We start from the raw sequence: 12,994 nt of genomic DNA on the forward strand, positions 1-12,994 counted from the left end.
AGCCAAGTCATTATCTTCTCATGGTGATGACAGAAGCTCAAGGAAGAAGTGTGCAAGCACATTTCAATCCTCTGCTTCTATGTTTGCTAATATCCCATAGGCAGGACATGTAGTCAAGCCTAAAGTTAATGGGCGGAGAAGTGTACTCTGCCTTTAGGGGGAGAAACTGTACAGTCACATGGTAGAGGATGTGAATTCAGGAGTGGTGAATAAGTAGGAGTCACAGTCAAACCTACTGTAGGTATGAAGAACCTAAGTTATACCATTTACATAACAATGCATTCTTTATTCTTAGCATTTACAGGGCACTAGAGAAAGATTTTTGTTTATTTAAATTCATTAACCATTCATGGAGTACCTACTTCATATAATGTACTGAGCAAAAGCTAAAGGCATATATTGTATATAGAGTACCTGATTCCTGAGAGGCTAATGGTGGGAATTAGGAGAACTCATAATCAGTGCTGAGTCAGGACTTGGTGTAATCGCCCAATGTGTCCACAAGGACTGCACTAGCCAGGAGTCTTATTATTTTGCTTTAATCTTCGTTGCTTTTTAAATTATTTCAAAGGCAAGAAATATTTATTTTAGAAAATTGAAAAGTATATCTATGCATAAAGGAGAAATTAAAATATGCCCGTACTCCCACCATCCGTAAGTAAACAATTATTTGCTTTAATGAACTAGATAGAAAGATAGGTCGAGATCATGTAGGTAAGTAGATAGATAGTAAATTGACTAATTGGTTGTAGAGGAGTGCTTTTCTATCTTTTACTTAATGTAACATGTATACATTCAATGTCAGTAAATATTCATCTCTATACATGTCATTAATGCTGCTTAATATTCTGTCATGCTAATATAGCATATTTTATTTCACTAATTTAATGATAAACGGGTAAATCTCATTTTTGCTATTATAGACAATGTTGTTTTGTAAATGTTGTACATCTCTAAATACTTGAAGTACAAAAAAGCAGAAGGGATGTAAAAGAAATATCAATAATGTTTCTTATCAGGGAAGAGTTTATTTTTCAAGAGATTTTAAAGCAAAAATCCAAAGGCTATAGCTAGGTTCCAAATTTGGAGAAATAATCTAAAGGGAACAGTATGTTCAAAGCAAGGGAAATAAAGGGGCATTTCAATTAGACACCCAAGGCCAGTCTCCAGAGAAGACACAAGGACCATAGCATCCAAAATTCAAACCACAGAAGAAAAATGTGTGTTCCGGGGAGAAAGACATTTTAGGATTTGTTGTTAAGATGGGTAAGATGAGGGTAGCTGGGAGGTAAATTGTACAAGGCAAAGGAACAATTCTGTACAAGGCAACACAAATGTGTGCACCCAATCCTGCTGGTGTGGAAAGATATCCAGTCATCAAACTGCAAATGGCAGTGGGTTTACAAGTCAAAGGCACAGTTGACGAGGCTTACAGGGCATGTCTACAGTTCTGGCACTGAAACAACTGGTGGTTTCAACTAATAGAAAAAAATAAGCAAAACTGAGCTTCCATATTTTATAGCCTTGCAAAAATACAAGCTAGTAATCAGTTCATGATCTGTCGGTATCAGCCTGACTTTCTAAGGTGGAAAAAGGGCGAATCAATATCTTACTGCAGTTGTATGAGCAATGATATTGCGTCTATTCCTAAGGCTGGTTTGCCGTGGTCTGGATGTGGTTGGGAAGATACTCTAAAGCAAATTCTGACACCTAAAGTGAAATAGTCCTATAGATTATCTATAAAGAATTCTTTGATTTAAATGCTAGGACAAGAGCCTCAGCATCTCAGAGAAGTGCCTAAAATTAGGGTACTCTGCTAAACTGAGAGTATGAGAATGTTCTCATTTGTATGGCATTAAATATCAAGCAATTCTTTTCTAAAATTTGGCTTTGAAGGCCCAGAATTTAAATTTGCAGGGCTCTTGACTATCAAAAGATATTAGTGTAATCCATTCTATTTGTATAGCATTTGTGTTGATCTTCCCATCAATTCAATGAGGTATAGAAGGCAAACGGTAAAACACTACTATAATGGATCAGGCTGCTGAGAATCGTGAAGGGCTGTGCTGGAGGTCACCCTTAGAACATGGTAATGACAGGCTATAGTTACCATGTCCTGGCTACCAGCGCAGGGTCCTTTTCTCCTTACCCACCCACTCTCTTACAACACATTTAAGACAACCTCAAATGTGTTTTTCAGAGAATTTGGCATTCTATATCTTTCAAATCTCCACTTAAATTCCCAAATTGTGTGGTTTTATTCTTTATTGCGGAAAATCTTTTTTAAAATATCAGTTGCTAAAATGTCCATTTTATTGTTCTAGATGTCAAGTTGAAAGGATGAACTGGAATCTTTGATGATCAAACTGATGGAACAGATGATCAGTTCTCATCCTCCAAAGTTGTGACTGTAGATGGTGTAGGAGACTGAGCTGAAAATGTATTGCACCCAGTAGTTTAAATTCTGAGCTCTTGAGAGAAGAGACTGGGTGCATTTTGTTCAATCTTCTATCCTGGATGCCTACTAGATATCTAGCATGAAGTAAGCATTTAATGAATATTGGTTGAATGAATAAATACTATGTAAGTGATCTTCAGAGTGTGCTTTTTGTTATTGACTTCCTTTTCCAGAAAGTCAACTTATAAATTAAAATAAAGAAAAAGAAAGAGAAAGAAATTAAGGAAGGAAGCGAGGGAGTGAGAAAGGAAGGGAGGAAGCAAGGCGGAAGGAAGTGGGGGAGGAAGAAAGGAAGAAATATAAGGTGGGAGGGAAGGATGAAGGAAGGAAGGAGAAAAGAAAAAGAAGGCAAGGGGAAAAACAAGAAGGAAGAACAAAGGAAGAAAGGGAGCAGCATAGGAAGAAGGAACTAAGGAAAAGGTAGGAAGGAAGAAGAAAGGAAGGAATAAATTAAAAGAAATTGTGAATTTTGAAGTGTTGGCTTTACTTAGAAGAAGCTCTAATTCATTTAATCAATATTTTTATCCATTAAGATTTAAAATTCATTTCTTGTCCCTGTTTCAATGTCCATCTCCTTCCCATTCTGTGAAACCAGGACAAGAGCTTCCAATTTTGTGACTCCTGGGTCCTCCTACCACCCTCAGGCCTTGGGAGTGCGGTGGGAGTAGGAGAAGCACGTGTCACTTGACCTGGAGCAGCTGAAATCTATCTTGAAGGGGAGTCACCTCCTGCTTCTCCTGGCTCACAGAATAACCAGTGTCCCCACAGTGGGCTCTCTGTGAACTGCTGGCTGTGGATAGAGTTGCAGGATGAGTTCTCTCTTTGTGCACTCTTTGCTGACCATCTAAGTGGTGTGTCTGACTAGTTTGGCATGTTGCTTGTTAAAATTCATTCTTTTAAAGCCGAGTATCCACTTAGTTCCTCTACTCTGAACTTTCATCATTCATTATTAACAATGAAAGCCAAAGTGCATGAAACAAGTTCAGCCCTATCTGTTTCTGGCATGAAAGTGATGTCTTGGCATATTAGTGGGACACAGCTCTATCTTACATAAAATGCTGCCTGGGCCCACAACAAAGGCGCTGTCTCTCAGCGCCTAATAGGATCACCTACTTCAAATGTGAAACTTCCTTCTTTGAAATATTTGTTGAGATTTCATAAACCTATGAAGATTCTCAAACTCAAACAAAACCTTCTAGGCTTTGGCGCAAGCTCTGACTCTAAAGAGCTTTCTGTTCTATAAGCCAGTTATTGGATCTGGGTCCCAAGCGCAGGCAGATGGGGAGGTGTGGGGGCATCAGGAGAGGAAGAGCTAGCTTTCCACTTTCTCTTTTTGATACAAAAATAAAAGTCATCTGGCTTTGACTGCAGAAAATGAATCATATTAAGTATTTTAAAAGCACTATTTTTTTGGTAAGACCTAATTTCAGACCAATTAACACTTTAATATGAAACAGAAGCACATCATTTCATTAGGAGGCAAAATAAGGCCTCTCGGCTACCATATGTTGTCTCTTCCTTTGCAAGAAAGGAAAAAAGAAAAAAATCTCATTTGAAAGCTCCTATTGTAGATTGAGCTACAAGAGGGAATGTAAATTTGGCACCATCACCCACCCCAGGTGAGCAGAACGCATTGAGGAGCCACACAATCACAGGGTTTTGTTTTTGTATTTTTGGCAATGCCCATATTCACTCTGTTCGGTAACAGAAGATCTGGCTGTTGCCCTAGAAAGCTGAAGAGAAACATTCTTTTGTGAAAACAGAAGTGAAAAGAATCTTTTAGTATGTTCTTCCTAAGAATGTCTATGCTGACACGAAGGGCAAAGAAACACTTTGTACCACTGATTTCACAGATTACTTATTTATTAAATAGATGAAACAAAATTATAGCTGTCCCTTTTCAATATTTAAAATTTTTAAGATAATGCCTTTAAAATGCACAGAACATGAATGCAGGAGCTGGTGTGATTGGAGAGAGCCTTATTGCACATAATTAACAGACACATAATGTCTGGTAACTAGTAATTTCCTTCTAGCTGAGTAAGGAAATAATTTAATCATGTTGATCAAATGAATCCCAGGAGCCCAGTGTAACATTATGCCTAAAAAAAAAAAAAAAAAGAAAGAAAAAGAAAAAAGAAAAAAAAATATGCAATAACTGATAAAAGACTACTTGGTCAAAAAAAAAAAAAAAAACAACAACTTGGCTTCCAACCTTGCTTAGGTATCCTTAATAGTACTTAAAATGCAGGCCTTAATCTGACATTTCAAGAACATTATTTTCCAACACTGGCAGAGGCTACGAATATCGGTATGGTCCACTTTTCTATAACCAATACCCAATTGTAATAGATGTATATTTCCCTCACCAATGAAAATGGTCCCCCCAACCCCTGCTTAGAGGAGTGTGCAGAAAGTGTGAGGAGTGACTAAGTGGAAGTGGGGGTGATTAGACCACACGTCTATTTTCTTAAGAATCTCTCTTTCCTAGAATAGCATCCTATAGTCAATAACTAAATATAAACCCCTATTGTTCATCTGTGAATTCCAACTTACTATTCAAAATGGGCAGGAGGAGGCATTCTTCCAAATTATTCCCCCAAACAAATGTCTCCTCAGTAGAATATATCCTAGCTGTGATAGTCTGGTGTTTTCTTTTGAAATCTTTTGTAGTCTTTGCCATTGTTCTTCTGAACTACTTAGAAAAGGCAGTGAGCCACCTTCATGGTATCTGAAGTTGGCTCTCCATAATGAGGTGATATAATTTAACACTTACTGTAATACATTTTATCCATCTATTGTTTGCTAAATAATTCCTGCAATAACAATTTTATTCTTTCCATAATTCTTCAGGGCAATGCTGGAGGAATAATATTTTTACTGCAGTGATTGATGTCAGGTCCTGGTGCTATATAGCCCCATGAACAAAGGTTATTGATAAGCATCAGGAAGATTGGAGGGTGTAGAGGGGGCAGGGAAAGCATTCAGAGGCCCCTGCTGCATGAAAAGAAGATCAGGGATCAGAGGGTTAATACCATTTTATGAGGTTGTAAAAATCTACCCCAAGATTCTTGTGTTAGCAATATTCTTTGTGTAAGATGTATGTTATTAAAACAAGTAGCAGCATCTGAATTAAAGTGACAGTATGATGGATGACTACTGAAAAGGAATCGGAGCCGTTTGCAGCATTTTGGGCTAGATGTGGGAATTCTGCCTCAGAGGCAAGGAGCTTGGCAGACACATTGATTCCGGGCTGATGCATGTTCATAAATATGCCCCTAGAGAGGTGTGGCCTAGCAGAATTTACAAAATTATGTTCATGAATTATTTAACATTTATTTATGGATGCTATATTTAAACAGTATTTGCAAAGGCGAATGGACCATAGCTTACAAAGTGATCTTTAGATAATGCAAATTCTGCACAAGGCAGAGGTGGCGGGTGACTTGCCCAGTGATGCTAAGCCTATGAAAACTATATTAGAGGAGGTGAGTCCACCAAGGAAGGAGCTGCCCCTCCAGGACACAAGGTGTTTCCTTGATGTAGCTGAGGTTCAGAGCAAGAGGACAGATCAAGGAGGACTTTTTCTCTTCAGAAATGTGGTTACATCAGAAGACAAGATTGTGCTAGAGCTGATTCAAATTTCAACATAAGGAATTTTTCCATTTACAGCACTCTTTTTTTTAAGGATTGCAAAATGTAACACTACCAGTTAAAGGTCATAAAGAAGAAAGGAGGCCAGGTGCGGTGGCTCATGCCTGTAATCCCAGCACTTTGAGAGGCCAGGGTGGGCAGATCACTTAAGGTCAGGAGCTTGAGACCAGCCTGTCCAACATGGGGAAACCCTGACTCTACTAAAAAAAAAAAATACAAAAATTAACCAGGCGTAGTGGCATATGCCTGCAGTTCCAGCTACCTGGGAGGCTGAGGCAGGAGAATTGTTTGAGCCTGGGAGGCAGAGGTTACAGTGAGCCAAGATCACGCCACTGCACTCTAGCCTGGGTGACAGAGAGAGAATCCATCTTAATAAAAAAAAAAAAGAAAAAGAAAAGATTGAGAAAATGTTAAATCTTAGATGCCTCTCTAATCGTGTTGTCATGTTCAAACACATGAAGTTAAAGTTATGATTTATAAATTTATTAATTTAGTGTCATATAGTTTGGCATGGTGGATATGGCAGTGACTCTGATGCTCATGAAATACTCTATTTGCTCTCACCATTTGCCATCCTCCTTGAAGTCGAGTGAGGCCTTGTGGTTAGGTCTTGCCAATGACATGTGTGTGGAAGTGGCAGGTGTTACTTATGTGACAGAGGCATACAGGCTTTTGCTTGTCTGTCTTTCTTCTCCTGTGATGGTAAATGAAGAGGACACACAGTACAAGAGGTTCAACTGCTAGAGGGTGAAACCTCCCACAGCCCATCCCTATGACTGCAACTGAGCCCCCACCAACCTGTATGAGATGAATAACATGACGGAGAAATTAGAGTTGGTGTATTAGCCCATTTTCACACTGCTATAAAGAACTTCCCTGAGATTGGGTAATTTATAAAGGAAAGAGGCTTAATTGACTCACAGTTCCACATGGCTGGGAAGCCTCAGGAGACTTACAATCATGGTGGACGGGAAAGCACACACCTTCTTCACAAGGTGGCAGGAGAGAGAAGGTGTGAAGGAGGAACTTCCAAGCACTTATAAAACCATCAGATCTCTTGAGAACTCACTCACTAGCACGAGAACAGCATGAGGGAAACCGCCCCCATGAGCTAATCACCTCCCTCCCTCAACACATGGGGATTGCAGGTCCCTCCCTTGACCGTAGGGATTACAATTTGAGATGAGATTTGGATGGGGAGACAGAGCCAAACCATAGCAGTTGGGTTGGGTTAAGCCATTGAAATTTGGGGGTTGCTTGTTGCTGCAGCGTAACAAAGACTGTCTTGACTAATGCGGTAGGTCAGTGCTACTCAAACCACCTTCCTGCAGTGAAATAAGATGTTGGTGCCAGAATGTAAATCAGTGCTCTACTCACTTTAAGAAGGTCTTACCATGAAAAAGTGGTCAGCTGAACTGAACACGGTGCTTAGTGACAGTTGATTTATTTTCTGGCACAAGCTCCTTAACTAAGGACACTTGCCACAGAGCAGTTCATGGACATACCATGAGAGGCATTGCAACAGACAATGGCATATTTTCTCAAGTAGTTCTAGGTTCATATTTGGTTGTTTTTTATGGATGACTGACATGTTCTAATGCTTCTTTTGCCTCTTGATAAGCCCAACCCTTTCCATCAAAAATGGGGGAGGCTCAAACAGAAAAAAAAAAAAGAAGTATAATCTGAAATGGACAAGATAACTTTGTGTAGGAGATGGACCTTATGATTTTACCTTTCTGCTAATTTAAAACCTACATCTCACCCCTACAAAATCAGAGCTAGACTTTTTCATTTTGTTTGCTCATAAGAAACGTAAGTATTTTCCTCCTCTAGCAAACCTGCTTTAAATGTAATAATAACTTGACCAATGGTGTTATCAGGGTATTCCAGGTTACTCAAAGCTAGGATGCTAGCAATACCGAGAAAAAATAAAGCAGATAATCTGATTTTATCAATTCCAGAAAAGACACAGTGACAATAAAGAGAGGCAAGGCAATGGGATTGAGTTTTACTTTGCTAAAAGGGGGTAAATAGAAACAAAACCTTTAAATGTATACATCAAAAAAGACTCTGCATAAGTTCAAACTCACTGGCTAATACAAAACTAAAATGATAACTTAATATATGTGCTTTAACTACCACTTAAGTGATAGAAATCTTTCCCTTTTAGTTGACAATATTGGTATTACAAAGGTAGAACTATAACTGCAGTGTCACTGGTGTCTCCTTTTGCCACTCTTAGAGCAAAAGTACAAGCCAAGTTTGTAATCAGAATATTGATACTACATGGTATTATGTGTGGATTCTGAATGTGATATGTTATTTTTAATTGACGTCTGATTGTAAAATTCCTAGGAATGTTATATGACCAAGCATGCACACACACACACCCCTCTCTATCTCAATACTTAGGATAGTTACTAGAGCTAAAAATTTAGTCAATTATTGATAAATAAATAAATGAGTGAATACGGGTAAATCTGTTTGCATTATCCAGAAGGCAACTACTAGAAGCACTAAGAAAACTCTTAAGAGAGTGTTTAACTATGGTGTTTGAGAATGGCACTAGCATCTTAAGATGTGAATTCTATGTCATTAATCAGAGTTTCCAATAAAATAATGTATGACATCTCCATATAACTGTGGTTTGACCTATAGTGTTGAATTTTAATTTTTTCTCTCTTTTATTTATTATTTTTTATTGTATTTTATTGTATTTTATTTTTAGACATGAGATCTCACCATTTTATTGCCTAGGCTGGAGTGCAATGTTGTGATCCTAGCTCACTGCAGCCTTGAACTCCTGGGCTCAAGTGACCCTCTCTCCTCAGTCTCCTGAGTAGCTGGATTGCAGGTATGCATCACCATGCATGGTTTAATTCACTCTCTTTATGAAACTTTTCAGGATTTTTAAAGGATTGGTAAGAAGTGCTGGAAAATTAGGGATAGACAAGTGTACAGATAAATAGGGAAACACATTGTTCTTCCCTTAGTTCTAGTCCGCTAGGAAGCAGAGCCTGAGGCAGGATTAAAGTTCTGTTTTTGTTTTGTTTAGTTTTTAATTTGAGAGGGAGAAGCCCGTTGTAAGGTAGGAAAAAAAAAAAGAGAAACAAAGCAAGGGTAGATGCAAAGCAAGGGTAGATGCAAAGCAGTGTGATGCTCTGAGCCATCTAGCTGGCATTTGCTACACAGTGAACTGCAATGGGACATAGCAGGTCGCTCAGCACATGTGTGTGCTAGGCACTCAGCAGAAACTGCACCTCAGAATAGCCCAAAGAAGGAAGAAATGAAAGGGAACTCACCTTCCTCGCACCCTGCAACCTCTTTTTGTTCATTGATCCAAGTTTACTCCATGCCGAGCTAACTCCCCAAGGTTGCATCCTTCAACCTCTTGGCAGCTGTGCCTGCAATCAGACCCCAAGCCTCTCTATAGGGTGTTTTTTCCAGGTTAGAAAGTGGAGAGATACCTTAGCACTGAGAGGGCTTGGCATGAGGGAGGCAAGTTTCTTCATTTCTGTGATTTCAATTCAGACTACAGCTGCTGGGGAGCTATGCAAAGATAGCATGGGCATAGTTGCCCAAGAGGCACATGTAACCTTTGTAGATAAACAGGCAGTTAAGTCTGAGAAAGCACACAAGGTTTGTGTTCAGCATGGTTCTCCAAGGTTTTAAGAGTCCCAAGGCATGAGATTTTGCGGATGTTTTTCACAATGCCCTCCACTTTTTCTCCTAGTCTTTTTCCTTTACCCTGTTCCAGTCCATCCACCCTTTACTCCAGGTTCAGTGTTCACTCATTTGCCCACATTTACCACTGCACCCTGCTCTTCGTTGAATATCTTACCCAATGCAAAACATGTTCTGCAGCCAGTGATCATTGTTATTGAAGGAATACTTTTCTCTGGCATTGAGAACAAATGTCATCCTTTTTCTAAAGCGCTTCCTCTATCCTCTCCAATCTGATGTGTCTCCCTTTGCTGTGTTCACATACTGCTTATATCTTTGTTTAGATGTTTGTCAATGCCTGGTATGCCCATAATTATTTATGTGTATTTATCTACTCACTAAGTTGTTAGCTCCTTGAAAACACAAACTATGAAATCTAGCGGAACGAGCTTGGATTTTGGTGTCTGGCAAGTCTGAGTTCTCCAGGACTCATTTGCTTCATGTTTTTATGGTTTGTCTCTTGCTTCACCTTCCTGGGTTTTATCACCTTTTATGTAAAACTGTGGCAGTTGTACTTTATTTGGTTTTAGTGAAAATTGGCAGAGACAATTTAATGCTCATAGCTAATGGGGTGACTGACACATAGCTGGTGCTAAATAAAGGCTACTTTTTGTCTTTATCCAATTGTTATATCCCTTTATCAGCACCAATGTAGTGAGTGGTTAATGGAAAATGTAAATAATTTCCAATCTGTGTAATACTAGGGAATGCATGTAGTAATTACTTACATGCCAGGTACTATCTTAGTGCTTTAGAAGAGTTTACTTATCTGTCTTAGTCAGTGTTCTCTAGAGAAACAGAACTAATAAGATATATATATATATACACACACACACATATATAAGTGTGTACATATGTGTGTGTGTATATATATGCAATATAGTATATATACACACACATATATATGTGTGTATATATGTATATGAAGTTTATTAAGGGGTATTAACTCACATGATCACAAGGTCTCACAGTAGACTGTCTGCAAGCTGAAGGGCAAGGAAGCCAGTCTGAGTCCCAAAGCTGAAGAACCTGGATTTCGATGTTCAAAGGCAGGAAGCATCCAGCATAGGAGAAGCATGTATGCTGGGAGGCTAAGCCAGTCTAGTCTTGTCATGTTTTTCTGCCTGCTTTATATTCTGGCCACGCTGGCAGCTGATTAGGTGGTGTCCACCCAGATTAAGGTTGTGTCTGCCTTTCCCAGCCCACTGACTCAAATGTTAATCTCCTTTCACAACATCCTCACAGACACACCCAGGATCAATAGTTTGCATCCTTCAATCCAACCAAGTTGACACTCAGTATTAACCATTACAGTATCTAATCCTATAAGGAAGATACAATTTTTATGTTAAAAAAACTTCCATAGAACTTCCTATATACCAGACACAGTTCTAATTACTTAACATTTATTAATCATTTTAACCACATAACATTCCCATGTGGTTAGTACTGTCATTATTGTCCACTTTCAAAATAACAAAGACACTGAGAGGCTAAGTATCTTGCCCAAGGTTACACAGTTGGTAAGATACGGGATGTAAACACAGCCAGTCTGTTTCCAGAGTCTGCATTCCATAGAGTGTGGTATAATGTATTATAAAATAGCTTCTATGTAAATAACTTCCTCATATATTTAAGAGTTTTTATTACTTTTAGATAAATAATACTTCTCTAGAAATTGCCAGTCCATTTCTTTAAAAGTGAACATGTTATATACTTACCCCCAGAGCAAAGGGTATGGCTTATTCAAATTGAGCAATTGACTCAATTGAACAGATTTAAGCTATTGCAGCCTAGCTTTGATGGTAAATGGTGGGAGTCAATTAGACACAACTAGTATAAATCACTATGCAAGATTGATATGACACCTGCACAAAGATAGGGCAAAGGGAGTTACTTATTTTTGCACCTATTTTCAATACTGTATCATATTGCTGTTTGCATTCATACCCTGTAGGATATTTCTTTCTAAAGATTCTTGCTTTTGGCCAGGCGTGGTGGCTCATGCCTGTAATCCCAGCACTTTGGGAGGCCAAGGCGGGTGGATCATGAGGTCAGGAGGCGGGTGGATCACGAGGTCAGGAGATTGAGACCATCCTGGCTAACATGGTGAAACCCCGTCTCTACTAAAAATACAAAAAATTAGCCAGGCGTGGGGGCAGGCACTTGCAGTCACAGCTACTTGGGAGGCTGAGGCAGGAGAATGGCATGAACCCTGGAGGCGAAGCTTGCAGTGAGCCGAGATCGCGCCACTGCACTACAGCCTGGGTGACAGACCGAGACTCCATCTCAAAAAAAAAAAAAAAGATTCTTGCTTTCACATACAGCTTTTTATATATCCCACAAAACCTACGAGAGTTGACTCTATGTGTGTGCATGTGCATGTGTATGTATTGGGAGGGGAATGATAAAATAAATTTTTCTAGTTCATAAAGAATACGTAGGCATGATAATAACAGAAGTGAGAGAACATTTTCCCGATGAAGTGCAATACTGGCAACATTGATGCTTACCTTGCAAATGAATTGAGATTGGGCCCAGACCCAAGTCACCATGATTTCACGAACCACCAGAGAATGTTCATACAATATTGAGTACCTTCCAATATCTGAAGGACAAAAGTGAGCACATATTAAAAATCTGAAGAATTGAATTTTTAGGCAAGGCCTCAGTAGAATCAGATAAATTTCTCATTATCATCTCTCTCTTCCGTTTCTTCCCCTGAGGCAAGAGTGTGAGGCCCTAACATAAACCTAACGTTGTCATCATCTTAAAGGATATACTGTTTTTCCACTTATGCCATATTTCATACACTTTTTAGCTATGAGAAAAGATGGTGCACTTTCCAAAGAAATGTTATTTGGAGGGTATCAATGTCCATCAGAGAAGGTGTTCAGTTCAGGTAAGATGAGGAGAATTAGAAGAGCTTTTCTTTAAGCTAACAATGTTTCCTTTTGAGTTAGGGCAGATATTAATCATGTTTGATCTCTTACAAATAAAAAGGAAATAATCCCAAATGGCATGGCATGTAGCTTTCTATCCTGGGGTTTCTGCCCTCAGTTTTGGTATTTATGTATTTGAAAGAGATACCAGCATGGTTGATATTAGTTATGACAGTTCACATTTCTCCTCTAAACCAAATTCTAGTGAAAAAAAAAA

At 38.9% G+C, this 12,994-nt stretch overlaps 1 long non-coding RNA gene across 1 annotated transcript in view; it reads right to left on the minus strand.

Annotated features, from left to right (window-relative positions):
* LOC105374785 (uncharacterized) overlaps nt 1-12,439 on the minus strand; it is a 48,470-nt gene extending 36,031 nt beyond the window's left edge. Inside the window, exon 1 of the long non-coding RNA XR_940210.3 lies at nt 12,349-12,439. This is a non-coding gene — a long non-coding RNA (uncharacterized LOC105374785). The remainder of the gene's footprint in view (nt 1-12,348) is intronic.
* Between the last annotated feature and the right edge of the window lie 555 nt (nt 12,440-12,994).

The sequence above is a fragment of the Homo sapiens genome, chromosome 2 (assembly GCF_000001405.40).
Source record: "Homo sapiens chromosome 2, GRCh38.p14 Primary Assembly".
NCBI classification, from domain to species: domain Eukaryota; kingdom Metazoa; phylum Chordata; class Mammalia; order Primates; family Hominidae; genus Homo; species Homo sapiens.